The sequence below is a fragment of the Homo sapiens genome, chromosome 13, assembly GCF_000001405.40.
Source record: "Homo sapiens chromosome 13, GRCh38.p14 Primary Assembly".
NCBI lineage: Eukaryota > Metazoa > Chordata > Mammalia > Primates > Hominidae > Homo > Homo sapiens.
Window position 1 is genome coordinate 18408107 of NC_000013.11, and position 20361 is coordinate 18428467.

Sequence of the window (20361 nt, forward strand, 5' to 3'; positions counted from 1 at the left end):
GCGATGTACTCGGCGATGCTCAGCGGTCTGGGCCCAGCCCTGTAGCCTCTACCATGGGCTCAGCTGCAGCTGCCACCTGAACATGGCACGTGGCAGAAGAGGCTGCAACCCTGACCCTGCCAGCGCCACCAGCCGCGCGGATACTTGGGCCAGAAGCCTCCAGGGCGCCTAAGTCAGGGGTTGGGTCCCTGGCTGCAGGAGGCCGGGAACCGACGCTCAGCGCCACCCTGGAGGCTGCACGATGCCCAGCGCCAGGGCCCAGCTCCTGGATCTCAGGTTGAGGAGGGGCCAGGGGCGGCTCTGTCAAGCAGGCCATGTGGCAGGGAGCCCCCCACGTTCCGCTGCAAGGAGCCCTGCCAGCCCGATAGCGCCTCAGTAGCAGGTGCCACCTGCACGCCGTGCTGGGCGAAGCGCAGCCAGGGCGGTTTCCTGCCTCGCGTGTCTCCCAGGTCTGCTGAGTTGCGCATGCGCTGTTGCCTAACGGTTCTGCTCAGCTGCCTAACGGTTCTGCTCAGCTGCCTAACGGTTCTGCTCAGCTGCCTAACGGTTTTGCGCAGCCATTTTCTCCCTGGAGAGGCTGGAGTGTCCAAAAGCTTGGCCGACTGAGATTGCTAGTCGTGTCAGGGCGGGTGCGGGACTGAAGAAGGGCAAGGGCGAGCGGCGGGGACTGGGGAAGGGCGAGCGGCGGGGACTGGGGAAGGGCGAGCAGCGGGAGGCACGGGCTCTCTCTAGCAGGTGGCTGCAGCCATGGAGAGGCTCTGTGCCGCCGCTGTCAAGGGCCAGACGGGCCCAGAGCGCCCAAGCCCCTTCAGTCAGCTGGTCTACACCAACAACGACTCTTACGTGATTCACCATGGGGATCTCAGGAAGATCCACAAAGCTGCCTCCCGGGCCAAGCCTGGAAGCTGGAGAGGATGATGAAGAAGACGACAATGGACCTGAACATAAGAGATGCGAAGAAGAGGTACCAGGCCCTGCCTGAGCCGGGGCTGCAGGAGGAGGAGGAGGCTGTGGGAGGATTGCCCCTTCAGAGTGGGGGCTGGGGGTCCTGGGGACGAGGGGAGCAGGTGGAGGAGTGGTGGGCAGCGGGGCGGCCGTCCTGGCCCCCGAGGTCTTGATCTTCTTCCCGGGAAGGCCCCCCAGGCCTTGGATGGGGGCGCCCTGCAGGGCGGAGGGCCCAGGCCACCTTAAAATCAACCCCAAACTTTAGTTAGCTGCTTTCTCCTTCACTCCCACTTCCTCTCACAGAGCACTGTGTAGATAATTTTAAAGTGATTTAACTTACAAAATTAAGTACATACAGGGTTTTACTTTTAATGTACAGGTTTTAAAAGATAATGTTAGATACATTATGAAATGGTGCATAATGAAATAATTCCCATAATATATTAACTTCTTGGCTAAAAATTTTTTGGATAAAGTCCAGTATCCATTTCAATATCAATGAATGTCTATGTAAATATATTCTTTGCTGAGGGACCTTAGAAGGTAACTTTGAGGTGGGAAGATGGTTTATGTTTTCGAATTTAAGAAGACTCATTTTTCTGAAGATGCAAGTTCTTTATCAGTTTTACATAAACCAAATAAAGTTATCAACGTTTTAACATTTTTAAAATTACACACGCTGTCTTTTACTATTGTGATGACATTTAACAAATTTTGTAACGGAGTAGAAAAGTCTTGCCCTTCTAGATTTCAAAATGTGCTATTAATTTGCACAAAATGGGCCATGGCCAGGCGCGGTGGATCATGCCTGTAATCCCAGCACTTTGGGAGGCCGAGGTGGGTGGATCACGGGGTCAGGAGATCGAGACCATCCTGGCTAACACGGTCTCTACTAAAAATACAAAAAATTAGCCGGGTGTGGTGGTGGGCGCCTGTAGTCCCAGCTACTTGGGAGGCTGAGTCAGGAGAAATGGTGTGAACCTGGAAGGCAGAGCTTGGAGTGAGCCGAGATCGCACCACTGCACTCCAGCCTGGGTGACAGAGCGAGACTCCGTCTCAAAATAATAATAAATAAATAAATAAATAAAATTTGAAAAAAAAAAAAAAAAAGGGCCAGACGTGTTGGCTCATGTCTGTAGTCCCAGCACTTCGGGTGGCCGAGGTGGGTGGATCACCTGAGGTCAGGAGTTCAAGACTAGCCTGGCCAATATAGTGAAACCCCAACTCTACAAAAATACAAAAATTAGCCAGGCACGATGTCGGGAGCCTGTAAGCCCATCTACTCGGGAGGCTGAGGAGGGAGAATCGCTTGAAACTGGGAGGCGGAGGTTGCAGTGAGCTGAGATTCCATCACTGCATTCCAGCCTGGGCGACAGTGAGACTCTGTCTCAAAAATAAATAAATAAATCACAAATTATTTGATAACAGCTGAAAAGACAGGTAAATGAAAACAACACAGTAGAAAATCCAGAAACACCCAAATATCTAAGAATTCAGAATTTGATAATGCTCACACTTTATACTAGTAGGGAAAGAATTAGTTTCATAAGTGAAATGCCTGCTTTTTGGAGAAAACTAGATTTTTATGCCACAAAGTAAATTTCTGATGGAATATAGATTAAATTTTTTTTAATATACAAAATGATAAAAGCACCAGAAGAAAACATAAATGCCTATTTACACAGGTACATTTTTATGTTGACAACACCTTTCTAAGAAGCTCAGAAGCAAGCAGTCTGAAGGATAATTAAGCAAAACAAAATTAAATTAAACTGTAAGGAGAAAAAATAAAAGGCAGCATACTTGTAAAATATTTACTACACATGTATGTGCGTGTGTGTATACATATTAGATTTTTAAATCATCATTTTACAGATAATTCACTTAAATCAACAAAAAAACCCTCTAATTTAAAATTGAGCAATTTAAATTAGAGATCTAAATTGCAGATCTAAAAATAGTACTTTGCTTCTAATTTAAAATTTGGAAAATATTTTCTTAAGATCTGTAAGTGACCTATGCACACAGAAAACAATATTTAGTGTTCCTGGTTACAGAAGGCATTTAAGTTAAAAGAGGAATCAAATACTGCTTTCTATCTACAAAGTTTGTGAGGATAAAGAGCAGTGATATTTATACTACTGTTTAAAGTTTAAGTTGCAGATAACTTTTCAAATAGACAATTTGGTGGTAAGTACCATATTATTAAGAAGAATCCATATAATGACTTTTATAAATACATTTCAGTGAATTTACAGCATGGGATAATATGTGACCACTGAAGGTAGAAATATGTAGAGAAGTAGGTGACATTTGAAAATGTATTTTGGTGTATCAAGTGAGGGTAAAGTTCAGTTTGATTATACATACACACAGACTTGCGTTATCTGAAGTTGTGTATGAAATATGATAAAATTTGTTATTTGAGGGCATTTGTTTTAATATAAAATGTTTTTCCTTTTTATTATCTTTGATTTCCACATTGAGCATGTACAATGCTGTTAGAAAAAGTTTATTATTAATGAAATAATTTTTGGGAAGAGCAGGAATATAATTTTGCACCAATAAAAATAATTTCTCACTTTCCATATTTTAATTATTATTTTTTGTGGATTAGTATATTCTGTGAACTTTTAGCATCTTCAAAAGACAATCTTTTTACCTGTGCTTGTTGATTTACATATACATCTTATTAGGCACATATTTTTATTGTATATAGATTTCTTACACATATGTCAATAATTATAGATTAATTAGTGTAGTTTTATTATTAAGAAAATAAAATAGAAAATATAAGTGCTTTATTTATAGCAGTTTTTTTAAGGTATTGAACTTCTCAACTGTATTTATCCTTTTAATCAATTTATCACATGTAAGCTGAATGCCTATTATGTAGAAGATACATTAACTCTCAAGATCCTTTCATCCTTAAAAATTTCACATTTACCTGCTCAGCCTTAGCAAAGTGAGAGATTTAAAGTTGGAGTACTAGGAATGAATCTCAATTGAAGCTTTTCCTCTCATCTTTAAAACAAAAACACTTCTGAAGTAAGAAACTAGTAAAAGATAACTACCAACCACGATTTTGGAAATTTATAACAGCTTTAAATAATAATATTAATCATTGGAAATACCTAATTTACATGCATTCTATAAATTTAAATATGAATTTACATACATTCTGTAAATCTAAACATGGAATAAAATGAGCCATACCTACTTGAATCCCAAGTTTTCTTTGGCTTGAAGTTTTAAAAATATTAAAGAAGTACTTTGTTTTAACAGTTTGTTTTTATTTCAACTCTCCTTTTGTATAGCACTCTTAAAAGCTAAAATTTCTTTAAGCGTTAATCCTATGACTAGGACTGCCATCGTCCTGTTGTATATACCATATTCCACTTCGTGGAAGGCACGGTGAATGGTGTGATGCCTCCTTATATTTATGTACCAATAAAAGATCGTTTAAATTTCTGCAAAATATACTTGTAACAAATAATGACTTATAAGTGGCATTTCAATGTCAGAGATGTTAAAATATGAGAAATAGAGTATCTTAGAATTATTAAAATAGTTTTATCTCTAACCTTTAAAACATACCACAAAGTAGGCATAATTGTACCATTTTACTTAAAATGTTTTCTTTGTTAAGTAGTAGAAATAATTACAATATCTATCAATTACTGAGCTGTTACATGTGCTAGGAATTCTTCGAAATACATTGCACAGATTCTCATGAGGCATCACAGTGATGTCCTGTGAGATAACTGCTGTATTCATCTTCACTTTATTGATGAGAAAATTGAGGCACAGAAAGGTGAAAGACTTTAAAGTAATATTCAAGCCCAAGTTGAACTGAATCCAAAGGCCAAGCTCTTTCTATTCAAATAGGCCACTCTTTCATTAATGTAGTGAGTAATAACAGTGAATGAATGTTGTAGTTTCTTCAGGAGAATATTAAATATTTGTTTTGAAGGCAGAGAAAGAGCATGGTATTTAATGTTGACAATTACATAAATCATTCTATGTTTTGAGACAGTGGACTAAACTTTCCTTAAAAGGCCTCTCACTCTCGTAGGACTGCTCTACACTGGGCCTGTGCCAATGGCCATGCAGAAGTAGTAACACTTCTGGTAGATAGAAAGTGCCAGCTTGACGTCCTTGATGGCGAAAACAGGACAACTCTGATGAAGGTAAATGGTAGCCAGTTCTTTCAGCAGGAGATGGATTTGGTTTAAATACATAGAATAAAAATGAAGGCCGGGCGCGGTGGCTCACGCCTGTAATCCCAGCACTTTGGGAGGCCGAGGCGGGCGGATCACGAGCTCAGGAGATCGAGACCATCCTGGCTAACATGGTGAAACCCCGTCTCTACTAAAAATACAAAAAATTAGCCGGGCGTGGTAGCGGGCGCCTGTAGTCCCAGCTACTCGGGAGGCTGAGGCAGGAGAATGACGTGAACCCGGGAGGCGGAGCTTGCAGTGAACCTAGATCGCGCCACTGCACTCCAGCCTGGGCGACAGAGCGAGACTCCATCTCAAAAAAAAAAAAAAATAAAAAATAAAAAATAAAATGAATTTATCTCATTGAAATATAACTAGTTTGTGAAACCTGTGGAATATTTATTTATATTTCCTATAATTTATAATTTACTTCTTGCTTTAATACTGACAGGCTCTGCAATGCCAGAGGGAGGCTTGTGCAAATATTCTCATAGATTCTGGTGCTGATCCAAATATTGTAGATGTGTATGGCAACACAGCTGTCCATTATGCTGTTAACAGTGAGAATTTGTCAGTGGTGGCAAAATTGCTGTCCTGTGGTGCAGACATTGAAGTGAAGAACAAGGTAGACATTAACCAATGTTATTTTCAAAATATTTGAAATCCATTTGTTTTAACATTAACATATGTAAATTGTTTTATATTTGGAAGCTCAAACATTCCTATTTTTCTATGAAAATAGTTTGACAAAACTTAATTGTCTAGGATTTTGCTTTAAATATTAATATTTTTACAAGAACTATTAGTATGGCTTTTCTGTGCATTATGATAAATATTTAAATTTGTTAAAGGTAAAACATTTTCAAATATTCTTTCCCACCCAAGTTTTTTTTTTCTTTCCAGTTAGTGTAAAACTACAAGAAAGTAAAATTTGCCTGCATAAATTGAGTCAACATGTAAAATTTAGGAGACATGCAGAAATCTGGATTTCCTCTTAAAGGATTGAATCTTGTGTCTCTTGAGCCCGTATGACTGTTTGGTATGCTATGAAGACATTCTAGTTTTACATAAAGCATATGTTTCCAGTTTGCTACTGTGCCCACCTAGTTACATCACTTATTCAACTTACCTATTTTGCCTCTTTAAATATTTCAGTTATCAATTCCTCTCTCATAGTACATTTTGGTAAAGATTTCAAGTTATTGAAGGCAGTTTATAGGTGTTTATAATATATAGTTTATATTTTACATTAATTCATTAATAATGGGGTTGTCTTCTAGAATTTAGAATATTTTATAAATGATGATTTTTCTCATATAAACCATAAATAATCATCTTCTATTAGAAGGCCTTTAAGCCTTTTTAGATTAATCATGGTTATATTTGAATATGTTATGCATATTGCAGAAAAAATATTATATCTTTCTCCACAGAATTGTCCCTTAAAATTCAAGTGATTTAGTGGCTTCTATTTTGCTAAGCCACATACATGAGTTAGAACTTTCATTAATAAGCCATTTTATTCATACTTCTGATATTTTGCCAAAAAATAGTATCAATTACAATAGAAACCAGAATAAAAATGGATTATTGCATTTTAAGAAGTAGATATGCATTAGGATCCTAGGAGTATCATTCTAATAGAGAATAAACTTTTATACTGAATTTCTTTTCTTTTTTTCTTTCTCTTTTTTTTTTTTTTTTTTGAGACAGAGCCTTGCTCTGTCACCAGGCTGGAGTGCAGTGGTGTGATCTCGGCTCACTGCAATCTTTACCTCCCTGGTTCAAGCGATTCTCCTGCCTCAGCCTCCTGAGTAGCTGGGACGCAGGCATGTTCCACCACGCCTAGCTAAATTTTTTGTATTTTTAGCAGAGATGGGGTTTCACCATGTTGACCACGATGGTCTCGATCTCCTGACCTTGTGATCTGCCCGCCTTGGCCTCTCAAAGTGCTGGGATTACAGGCATGAACCACTTTGCCTGGCCTTTTATACTGAATTTCTAATAGCTGAGATAAAATCCTATTGTCTGGTAATAGGATAAACCCCATGGACCATTTAAGAATATGCAATCAAAGTTTATTTGAAGCCAATCTCTTTTAATTTACAGCCACTTCCTTAGTGACCCATTTAGAGCAGGAGTGCCTGACATTGGCATTTGGAATCTTGGGATCATTGATAGAAGAGAATCAAGTGAGTTTGTATCACCCAGAGGAAACCTCCATTTTTGGGGGGAAGCTTTCAAAACTGCATCCCTGAAATTCTAATTTGTCAAATGTTAATGTTTGTCACAAAAATATACTGTCAAATAAGGATTAGGTAAAGTTCAATTCATTTCTTGAATAATGAACATTTAATTCACAGTTTTATAACATTTCTTGAACATAGATAATGGTGGAATCTGTTGGGGTACAGTGCTTCTGGTAAGGTAATTATTCTTTGGAATAAAGTTGAAGAAACACTGTTCTAGAAGTAATAATTTAGATTACTAATTTAGTAAAAAATAAAGTATTTACTACTATGTCTTAGGGTTTAAGGATATAGAGGTAAAAGATACAGCCCCTGCCCTCAAGAAGCTCTTGGTTTACATGGGAAACAATAAAATCATTACAATGTAATGATTTTTGGAGATAACCAGAGTTAATGTGGTGATGCAGAGGCTGAATGTTTACAAGAGAAGGTGCAGTGCATGGGAAAGCACAGAAAAGTGAGAAAGAAGGGATTGCTATTGATTTACTTTCCATTGTTTAAGTTCATAGGATATTATATAAGGTATTCAATTCAGCTGAGAAATATGTAATTTCATGAATTATAAATTGTTTTTGCTGTTTTACAGGCTGGCCACACACCACTTTTATTGGCCATAAGGAAAAGAAGTGAGCAAATTGTGGAATTTTTACTGACAAAAAAATGCAAATGCAAATGGAGTTGATAAGTTTAAATGGTATAGTAGTTTTTTTATTAAAAAGCACTTGAGTAGTGTGCTAGAGTAATAACACTCAAGTCAGAAATATTAAATTAATAAAATTTACTTAAAATTATTAGATTATACAGAAAAATACCAACACAAATTATCAGTTAGGAAGAAAAGCAATTATTTGGACTGGTCAACACAAAGAACAGTATACAGTAGGATTTTCTTCTTTTATTATACTGACTGATTCTTATTTGTAATCTGATGTTTTTGGTTGCATTATCTTCTATTAGCTAAAGTGGTTCTGTATTAGTTTTAAGAAGTATGAATTTTTAGTTTACTTTATAATTCAATATTGAATGATTAACACCTTTATAGTATTTTTCTAACTTCTGTTTTTCATACACTTTTAAAAAATGCAATATTTGCTGGGCATGGTAGCTGTTGTCTGTTATCGCAGCACTTTGGGAGGCCAAGTGGGTAGATCACCTGAGGCCAGGAGTTTGAGACCAGCCTAGCCAACATGGTAAAACCTCATCTCAATGAAAAATATAAAAATTAGCCAACCATGGTGGCACAAGCCTGTAGTCCCAGGTACTCAGGACAATATTATTCCTAATATTGTTTTAAGTCTTCAGATTGCTCTCACTTGTCCGACTTCTAGCTAATTTTGAAGCACAAAATATTATATCAGACTAAGGAGGAAATAGATAATTCTTCACTTAAAACTTTGCCTCTTTTAGATTAGTGAACAGAACATATTTTCTTGCCCCTCAGTGGACTTTATGTTAGCCAATTCTACTATGCCATATCCCAGTGAGACACGAGTCTTTTCACCCCTTCCTTTTAGCCTTGGTCATGATTTACAAGGATAAACACTTGAGCACTCAAGATACTTAACATTTGTTAATACATGTAAATGGCTAATTCTATACTGACAGGCACATATTAAATTGGTTCATTCCTAATAATGAAGTTATCTCTGTTATTTTAGCACAGCCCTCGTGCTTGCCATATGTCATGGATCATCAGAGATAGTTGGCACGGTTCTTCAGCAAAATGTTGACATCTGTGCTGAAGCTACATGTGGAATGATTGCAGAACGTTATGCTGTTGCTTGTGGATTTAATCTCTAAGTGTTTACATTTAAAGGCTAGGTGAGATTTTATAGTTTGTTTCAGGTAGTTTTTGAATGACAGTGAGTTAGTTCACTTCATCAGCCAGAAACTAGGCAAAAAGCTAGACTAGTTAGAAATATTAATGGCTCCAGGATTCTTTATTTTAGGGCTTTAGGGACGCTAATGTTGTCTACTTGATTTGAAGTATAACCCCTATGCATGGGATAAATATAATGTCACAATTTTGGTTTTTCTAATTAGTTATTTGGGTCTCAAAATGTCCACTTTAAGCAGAAAACCTGATAGTGTCCCCAGGGGGCTGTCTTCCATACCTTCATTCTTGAATTTTTTAAAAGAATCTGAACCTAAGTCCAAGGAAGACATTCCTTTTGTACAAGTCAGAAGGATTGGGGGGTGGGAAATGGCCATTCTCTTCATTTTGCTGTTTCCATTGATTCTGTTGCTGCATCGTTGCCATTGAAACTGCTCCTGCAGTCTGGTAATGATTGACCTTTGTGACCAGGATGCCCTTACTAACACAGATTCCTCAGTCTTCATGGTATAGACTTCCAAGTTATGACATGTTTTTAAAGTTCACGTACATATTCTCAGCCATTGTTTCCAAAGTACCAGCACCCCACTCTGGCAGCTAGAACTTTTAGCTTTAGCCACACACATAGTGAGCAAATTGACCCTTCTCCTCACACTCAAAACCTGATGTGAAACCCACATCTTAGCCTGGACATGGCCTAGACCTTCATGGTAAATTATCCTTTGAGTGGCTTTTTTCTATTTTCTCTAGCCAATATTAGTTGTGGTAGTTTGAAACTGTAAGTCAGGTTGAAATAATGTTACTGGAAGAAATTAGAGATCCATTTTGTCTTTGTTACCAGATCTATATCCCTGGCCCTTTATATCCTGTGTAGCACCATTTTGTAGGTAGTGGAAGGTCTCATCTTATTCTACAAAATCCCATGTCATCTTTCCCAAGTTGTAGTGGGTTCCAACTTGTGGTTGTCCCCTCAAGTGATTCTTTTTTCCTAAAAGTAAAAATCTCCCATGCTACTTACATCTCCACCTCGAGTTTCTAAAATATTTTCAAATGCTGCATCACCATGAAGCCATTCAATAGACTTCACTAAATCTCAAGTAAGTTGGTTAGATTTAACAGAGCTAAGCCTCATCCATCACTCATCAGTCTTCACGTATAAAAGTAAGGATTTGTGCTGGCTTCAGTGGTACATATAGTAAAATTAAGACAACGTTGAGAAGATCAGCATGGTCCCCGCACAAGGATGACATAGAAATCTGTAAGGTGTTGCATGTTTCTTGCAGTCCCCAAAAGGACATTTTACTACTTTCTAACTAGCTCCAAGGAAATGGTGTGAGTCAAAGCAAAATGGGTGACACCCAGTATTGCAATTGTGATTTTCATACAAAAAATTATTTACATAAGGTGATCTATGAAATGAGATGTGGTAACACATAGGATCTTGTGTGCAATATTTTGTTAGTAGGGATCTCAGAAATGAGAAAATACCAACTTGCATCTTCTTTGTGGAACTTACAAAAAATAAAGGTAGGGTTTTGTCTTCCACAGCAGCTGGAAATGAACATAGTGACTAAGCATCATTCTAACAAAGATTTGTTGGTTCAGAGTTTAAGGAGGTAGATAAAGAGTAGTAGTAGTCCAAGCCAGATGTTGACATCTATTAGTTTTCTGCCCTTGGTGTGACTGATGAGCTCAGTAATAGAGTATAATTAGGTTATCTGATTTAATTATTTAATATATTTATAAATAAATTTCATTACAAAATATAAAATAGCTTAGATGCTCTGAATTACAAGCCACAAAGAATAGAACATCTAATATCCAAAAGTAGGAATTAATAACAGAAAATTGCAATATTTGAATATTATAACCTATGAAGAAAAACATTTTTTTTGTTTTTGTTTTTTTTGTAATTTAATTTTTGTTGACACATGGTCTCCCTATGTTGCCCAGGCTGGTCTTGAACTTCTGGATTCAAGCAATCCTCCTGTCTCAGCATCCAAAAGTGCTTGCCTCACAAGCATGAGCCACTGCACCAGGCCAATATATTGGGTTTTATTGGGAATTTTAAATTGTTTCAGCAATAAGGTTCAAGAACAAATAATTTTTTTGCTTCATTTTTTATTTTAAGCATTTTAAAAATGTTATCTTGTTAAATCTTTATAATAACCTAGTGAAATAAGGCCCTAAAATCCTCATTTTTAGAAGACATTGAGTCTAAGAGAAGCAACTTGTTCAAGAAAAAATACCTGTTGGTAGCCATGCTAGGACTTATTCCGAGTTAGGGACATTTTCCATATGTCAAGCTAACTTTAGTTAATTTACTGAGTTATACTGCCCTCACTTTATGAGTGTTTTATCTTTCTTTCTTCTTTAATTAGAAGCTTAATAAGTTCATAGAGCTTGTATACTTAAAGTCTATGGAAAAAGTAATGTTCTGATGTTAGCTCTAATATTGTCTGAAATACTCTAAGAATGTAATAAATTTGGTAAATTTTTTTATATCAGTGTTAAAATAGTGATTTTATTTATTTCATTTTTATACATAGCATTCATCAACAACTTTTGGAATATAAACAAAAGATATCTAAAAATTCTCAAAATAGTAATCCAGGTAAGACCTCTGATAGTAAACTACTCTTGGTGGTGCTACCATAAGATTATAGGAGTGTTAATCACAAAAGAGCTATTAGAAAAGCAATGTGTAAGTAGCATGTGTTTACATATAGACCTATATGTAAGTGTTTTTTTATATACAAAGCTTTGATTTAATTTTTTAGTTTATAATTCAGAATTCATTAAGAATTTAGTTGTAGGTAGTTTATAATCTCAAAAATATTATCTGAAAAAATATTTGTTTAATTGTGGTCCCTAATATCCTATATAATACTTTTGTATAAATAAGTAAAACAATTTTTAAGTTTATCTATTGTATGTTTCCTCAACTGTCATAAAAATTTATGCTTGTTATAAAATGTATAATCCTTGGTGTGATTGATGAGCTCAGTAATAGGGGATTATCAGCTTATCCAATTTAATGAATTAATATATTTATAAATAAATTTTATTACAAATTATAAAATAGCATCGGTGCCTTGAATTACAAGCCACAAATAATAGAACTTCTAATAATGAAAAGTAGGAATTAATAACAGAAAGCTGCAACATTTGAATATTATAACCTATAAAGGAACACAGTTAACTGTTAAATAAACAAATATTTGTTTATTAAACATAAACAAACATACAAAATGTTTATTTGTTAAATAAACAAATAATTTATTTGTTTATTTATTAAACATAAACAAAATGTTTATTTGTTAAATAAACAAATAAATAATTTATTTGTTTATTAAACACAAACATAAAATGTTTATTTGTTAAATAAACAAATAAATAATTTATTTGTTTGTTTCTTTATTGTAGAGACATGGTCTCCTTATGTTACCCAGGCTGGTCTTGAACTTCTGGGCTTTATTTAATTTTTACAATAAATGATTTGCATTTAGAAAATTAGAATTAATTACAGTTGAGTATTGAGCAACATGAGAGTTAGGGTGCTGATCCCCCCATGCAGCTGAAAATCTGCTTTATAGGAAAATCTGTTTCTTTTGACTCTTCCAAAACTCTACAACATTCTACTGTTGACCTGGAGCCTGAAAAAAGGTGAAAGCTTAAGCAGTCAATTAACCCATAGTTTCTATTTTATATGTACTATATACTGTATTCTTAGAATAAAGTGAGCTGGAGAAAAGAAACTGTTATAAAGAGGAAGAAATATATTCACTATTTATTAGATGGAAGTGAATTATTATACATAAAGGACTTCATTCTCATTGCCTTTATGTTGAGTAGGCTGATAAGGAGGAGGCAGAGGCGAGATTTTTCTTAGTATCTTGCAGTGGCAAAGGAAAAGAAAAATCTGTCTATTAGTGGGCTCCTAGAGTGAGAACCCTTATTCAAAGATCAACTGTGTGGCATAGTGACTTGCGTCACTAAAAAAGTAACTATCTTTAGAATTTGGAACTCAATAATACTTTTCTTGCACCATAAATGAATGTCAATAAGAATTAACATAACTTAGCAAGGGTGCATCAGTACCAATAGGAGATTATTTTTCAAAGATACCTACTGAGTGCAGAAGTCAGAAAAGCAATTCTTTGTTGAGAAGCACAGGTTATGTTACATAGTCTTGTACCAACAAGGTCTCACTATTATCAATTTCATTCCCTCTAAGTTGAAACCAAATAAGATATATTTACTTCATTAGAACAAGATGTGTTGTTCTATCTGCTGGATAATTAGTGTGTTGATAGTAATTTTGTTACAACAAGTTACTCCGTTCCTACTAGCCAAAATATTATCATTATAAATATACAACTAGCTCAACTCTAGGCTCAACGAATTATAATAAAAGTGGAAAAAATTTTCACAATAACAAAAGTGCTACTGTGATACCTAAATGTGACAGAATACATTGTACAATATGAACTGTATGAACACATCTTTAATTTATTACATATTTATCAAAGGACTTCTATAAGTTAGATTTTGCAAGTTGCAGGAGACCAACATGGAATACACATAGTCTGGGTCTTTAAGGTGCTCATAATACAGTAGAGCTGTCTCTATTGAATTTCTTCATTTTTCCAACAGAATTTCCTAACTATGTTTTCTATTTGTGTATCCACTTGTCCACTTAACAAATAACTGTCAGGTATCTTTAAGGTACTAAGCATCTTTCTTGTTATTATCATTGTCATTTTTTATTATTTACTACTTTATTAAGTTACTAAGCATTTTTCTTGTTATTATCATCTTTTTTATTATTTACTACTTTATTTAGTGCTTACTCTGTGCCAGAACCCCTTTGGGAGCTTATAACTATCACTTATTATGTCATTACCATATTCAGTATGTGTCAGACATTTTATATCCAACGTGAAGAATTAAAGCTTTAAAAAGTTTGGTAGTGTCCAGGAGCGGTGACTCACTCCTGTAATCCTAGCACTTTGGAAGGCCAAAGGGGGCGGATTGCTTGAGCACAGGAGTTTGGGACCACCCTGACTAACATGGAGAAATCCCATCTCTACTAAATACAAAAAATTAGCTGGGCCTGGGTGGCATGCATATGTAATACCAGCTACATGGGAAGCTGAGGTAGGAGAATTTCATGAACCCAGGAGGCGGAGGTTGCAGTGATCTGCTGAGATCGTGCCACTGCACTCCAGCCTGGGCAACAGAGCGAGGCTCTTGTCTCAAAAAAAAAAAAAAAAAAAAAAAAAAAAAAAAAAAAAAGGAGAAAACAAAAGTTTGGTAGTATTTAAGGAAAGCAAGCTGAATGAGTAGAAGTTTTCCAGGTAAAGAGTCAGAAGGATGATATTTAGCAGAAGGAAAACTTAACCAGACTGTGTGTTTGGCAGAAGGAACATCTGAAGGAACACCTGACGAGGCTGCACCCTTGGCGGAAAGAACAGCTGACACGGCCGAAAGCTTGGTGGAAAGAACACCTGACGAATAGGATACAGTGAATTCCTCTTCAAAGATTTTAGCCTGTAAACATCCTTTAAAATTCAAGAGGGGGGAAGATTAAGTACAATGAGTTCTGAGTTCCTCATCAAAGAACAAATATGTCAGTATGTTCAGCTTCTCCGTTCTTTGTTCTCCGTTTTAAAGTTTAACTTCCTCGTTCGTTATGCCTCCTTGCCCCTAGTTTCATTAAACAACCCCCTTCTAGCCTCTAACACCTGCTTTGTCTTTAGTCATTCTTAGTAACCTGCTCTGTCCTTAGTCATCCTTAGACACCTGCTCTGTAACTGTCTTTCCCGCTGAAACTACTCACCCTGCCACTCCAGCTCATACCCCTGCCCTCTTTGAAATAGCCAATCTGAATTGGCTTAGAGTGTGCAGTCCAACCCTATCCAATAGGGAAAAGACACAACAGTAGGGACTAGCTGCATTAGAAATAAGAACACTTTCCCCTCCCTTGTCCGGTGTGATCTTGCCTTTGCTCCATCTGCAAGACCACTCTTCCATAGAAGTAAATTTGCCTTGCTGTAAAAACTTGTTGCTGGAGTGCTGACGGTTCTTTGTGGCACCGAAAATTATTTTCCACAAATTTGAGGGCCCACCCAACATTCCCATTCTCCTCTGGGGGAGGGTCCAGTCCTCTCCCTTGAGGAGGTGCACCCCGCTGCCTCGTTGCAGTGGCCATAAAGGTAAGGAATCAAGACACAACTGGTGCGATTAATAAACCCGGGCTCTCAGCAACGTGGAAAGAAACAGGCCAGCAACTCTGGGGAAAAGATCTTCACATACCGTGGCGACCAGGTAACTGTGCACAGACCGAGGTAAGAAATGTCGCAGGGGTGACAAAGTATTTCCTTGGTGGTCGGGATATTCTGGAGGTTGAAAGTGTGTGTAAATGATCACAAGCACTACTGCTTGTGGTGCTGTTTGTGTGGATGATACTAAGCATTATTGCTGTGAGGAGTGAGTGGGTCCTATCTGCGGTTTTTTATTTGAATAAAAAACCTTTGAAGAGGAATTCACTGTATCCTCATAGGGCTCAGGGCAGATCTTGCTGTGGGGTTTATACCATGATGCCAATGCTAAGAGGGACCTAAAATTCCTGGGAGGGAAGCAGCCAGAGTGGATGAAGTGAAAGAAGGGTGTGAGGAGCCTCCAGCAGGTGGGGATAAAGGATAGGGAAGAAATCTCTAGCATGCGGGATTGAGCCTAACCAGGACCTAACATGGGAAAAGCCCCAAGTAAGATAGGGAGCAAAAAAGAAGAGGATAGTAACAAAGACATGCCCCTCATAGTCCCCTGGGTCTCATGTTAAAATATTGGAAGGATAATGAGAGGACTAAACATAAGAAAAAGCATTAGAGGATAAAATATTGCTGTTTCATTTGGACCCAAGGTCCCATTTTCAAACACTCAATCTTCTGGCCAAAGTTTGGGTCGATTGAGAATGTAATATGTCAACTTCTAATTCAATATGTTAATGATAAAAATCTGGTTTCTCAAGAAGAACTAGACTATGCTCTTTGTTGGAGACAGGGACCTGTCTTTATTCCCATAAAGACAACTAGGGAAGAACCCGATCCAGTATCTCAAATTGAAAAGTCAGACGAGCTGACTCCCACACCTAAAGCCAGCACATGGGATCCCCTATACCATTTTGCCCTGCTCAGTACCTCTGACCCTTCCCCTCGGGCAGCTGCTGCCACCCCATATCCCACCCCAGATCCTTCTCCTGCTCACGCTGTTACTCCTCCTTACAACTCTAATTCTTGGGAGTTATCATCCCATGAGCCTGTCCCCTGTCAGCTTAAATACCTCTCCCTAAAGGGACTCCAGCATGAGGTACAGCAATGTAAAAAGGACGTTCAGAACTTCCCTTTTCCCTCCACACCTAAAGAGTCAGCCCTAACTCTCTTCCCCTTAAAAGACATGCCACAAGGAGGAGGAGCCATTGTATTTGTGAATGCTCCCTTGACCAGTTCAGAAGTCTGAAGTTTGCAAAAGGAAATTAAGCCATTGTTAGACGACCCTTATGAGGTGGCAGATCAGGTTGATCAATTCTTGGGACCTCAGTTATACACTTTGGTCGAGTTTATGTCCATCCTAGGCATCCTCTTTTCGGAGGAGGAAAGAAGCATGATCTGATCCGTAGGGCTGCTATGGCAATTTGGGAATATGAACACACTCCTTGTCAAAACGTTCCTACCACGGACCAAAAATTCCCTGCCCAAGATCCCCGGTGGGATAATAATAACGCAGCTCACCAAGAAAATATGCAAGACATAAGGGAAATGATAATGAAAGAAACTAGGGAATCAGTACCCCAAACTCAAAATCTCTCCAAAGCATTTGATATACAACAGGAGAGAGATGAGTGGACTATGAAATTCTTAGACAGACTAAAGGAGCAAATGAGAAAATATGCAGGCCTAAATTTGGAAAATCTCCTGGGACAGGGAATGTTAAATCTCCATTTTTGTCACTAAAAGTTGTCCAGATGTCTCTTTTTATTTTTTTGAGATGGAGTCTCTCTCTGTCACACAGGCTGGAGTGCAATGGTGCGATCTTGATTCACTGCAAGCTCCGCCTCCCAGGTTCACTCCATTCTCCTGCCTTAGCCTCCCAAGTAGCTGGAACTACAGGCGCCCACCACCACGCCCAGCAAATTTTTTGTATTTTTAGTAGAGGCGGGGTTTCTCCGTGTTAACCAGGATGGTCTCAATCTCCTGACCTCGTGATCCACCCACCTCGGCCTCTCAAAGTGCTGGGATTACAGGCATGAGCCACTGTGCCTGGCCAACGTTGTCCAGATATTTCAAAAAAGTTACAAAAATTAGAAGATTGGGAAAACTGACTTCAAGTGAACTTCAATGAGAAGTGAACCTCAAGTGAAGTAACCTCAAGTGAACCTCAGAGAGACTCAAAAAGTATCTGTGAAGAGAGACGAAGAAAAGCGAAAACAAAAGACAAAACTTATGTTATTCACCTTCCAACAGATGGCTCCAAACCCATGTACCCCTAAACAGAGCTTCCAGTGGGCCAGAAACTATAAAGGTTCCAAACCCTCCTTTAAAGGAACCAAGCCTCCATTGGGAGGATCAAGGCTCTCGTCTACCAGGCCATCTAAATAGCATGGGGGAGTAAAATCAAAGAATCCCAGAACTGAGAGTGGGGAAGGGCAAGGTAGGCACTACAAATGTGGAAGAACAGGCCACTTCAAGAGAGAATGTCCCAAATTAGAAAAGGAAAAGGAAGCCCTTCCACTCATGGCTTTTGAGGAAGAATAATGGTGTCAGGGGTTCTGTCTCTTTTATCTGGAGTCCCACCAGGAGCCCTTGATAAGTCTAGAAGTGGGACCTAAGCATGAGTTTATAACCTTTTTAGTCAGTTCAGGAGTGGCTCGATCCTCTGTTTCCCCCCCATCTAATATTGCCTGCTCTTCAGAGGAACTTTTGGTTTGTGGGGTAAAGGGAGAAGGATTTAAAGCAAAAATTTTAGAAAACACAGAAGTCAGATACCAGGCTCAATCAGCTCATATTCAGTTTTTGTTAATCCCTAAAGCAGGGACTAATTTACTAGGCAGGGATTTAATGTTGAAGTTAGGCATAGGCCTGCAACTCAGCCCAAGAGGATTCCTCACCTCATTAAAGCTACTCACCACTGCAGATGAAAAATATATTAATTCTAATGTCTGATCCAAAGAAGGAAACTGAGGGAAACTCTGAGTCCCTCCAAGCACATCAAGGTAAAAAACCCCAGGGAAGTAGTAAGGAGGAAACAATACCCCATTCCCCTAGAGGGCAGGATACGGTTGAAACCTATAATTGAAGGTCTTATTAAAGATGGGCTTCTTGGGCCCTCTATGTCCCCTTATAACAACCCAATATTGCCAGCCAAGAAATTAGATGGGTCATATCGGCTGGTACAGCACCTTAGGGCTATTAACCAAATAGTCCAAACTACCCATCCAATTGTCCTCGATCCTTACACCATTCTCAGCAAGATTCCATATAATAATCAATGGTTTACTGTAATAGATTTGAAGGATGCTTTTTGGGTATGTCTCCTGGCTGAAGATAGGCCAGATATATTTGCTTTTGAATGGGAGGATCCCCATTCAGGGTAGAAACAACAATATCGATGGATAGTCTTACCCCAAGGGTTCACAAACTCCCCTAACCTTTTCAGTCAAATTTTAGAACAAGTATTAGAAAAAGTTATCATCCCAAACAAATATGCCTGCTCCAATACGTTGATGATATTCTTATATCTGGTGAAGATATAGAGAAGGTAGCTGGCTTCTCTACACATATTCTCAACCATCTGCAGTTCGAGGGGTTATGAGTCTCAAAGGGAAAGCTTCAGTATGTAGAACCTGAAATTAAATATTTAGACCACTTTTAAGTGCAGAGAAGTGAAGAATAGGGCCTGAACGAGTTGAGGGAATCGTGTCCCTACCCTTGCCTCAAACTTAAACAAGAACTCAGGAAATTTTTAGGGTTATTTGGATACTGCTGCTTATGGATTAACTCACATGCACTAAACAGTAAAATTCTATATCCAAAACTTGCCCCGGGGAAGACTGACCATTTCCTGTGGACTTCTGAGGAAGTCCATCAGGTTGAAGAGCTGAAAAAAGGCTTATAACAGCCCCTGTCTTAGCCTTACCTTCCCTAGAAAAGCCATTCCACCTTTTTGTCAACGTGGATAATGGGGTAGCTTTAGGAGTGCTCACTTAAGAACACGGAGGCCATCGGCAGACCATGGTGGCCTTCCTGTCAAAAGTCTTAGATCCAGTTACTTGTGAGTGGCCTCAATACATCCAATCCATTGTGGCTACAGCACTAATGGTCAAAGAAAGCAGGAAGTTAACCTTTGGAGGAAAATTGACAGTAATAACGCCCCATCAAGTTAGAACTATCTTAAACCAGAAAGCAGGGAGGTGGCTTACTGACTCAAGAATCTTAAAGTATGAGACTATTCTGTTAGAAAAAGATGATTTAACATTAACCACTGATAATTCCCTTAACCCAGCAGTTTTCCTAATAGGGGATCCAAATCTAAAGAGATAGCACACATGTTTACATTTAACTGATTACCATACAAAGGTCTGACCAGACCTAGAAGAAACTCCCTTCAGGATGGGATGACACTTATTTATAGATGGTTGCTCCCAGGTGATTGAGGCAAAAAGATGCAATGGGTATTCAGTAATTGATAGGGAAACTCTTGAAGAAATTGACGTAGGAAAATTGCCTAAGAATTGGTCTGCCCAAACTTGTGGGCTGTTTGCACTCAGCTGAGCCTTAAAGTACTTGCAGAACCAGGAAGTAGCCATCTATACCAATTCTAAGTATGCCTTTGGAGTGGCTCATACATTGGGAAAAATTTAGACTGAACGAGGTCTCATTAATAGTAAACATCAAGATCTTGTTCATAAGGATCTAATCACCTAAGTATTGAATAACCTTCAGTTGCCAGAGGAAATAGTGATTGTCCATGTCCCCAGACACCAGAAAAGTCTTTCTTTTGACAGTCCAGGAAATAGCCTAGCAGATTACATAGGGAAACAGGCTGCCATTTC

The 20361-nt window shown here is 38.2% G+C and overlaps 1 non-coding gene and 1 pseudogene across 1 annotated transcript; both read left to right on the forward strand.

Moving 5' to 3' along the window:
- The first annotated feature begins 20 nt into the window (after positions 1-20).
- Positions 21-15314, forward strand: LOC102724148 (putative ankyrin repeat domain-containing protein 30B-like; annotated as a pseudogene).
- Positions 10420-10526, forward strand: LOC124903275 (U6 spliceosomal RNA). The gene has a single exon (XR_007063971.1). It is a non-coding gene; the product is annotated as a U6 spliceosomal RNA (small nuclear RNA).
- Positions 15315-20361: the final 5047 nt, after the last annotated feature.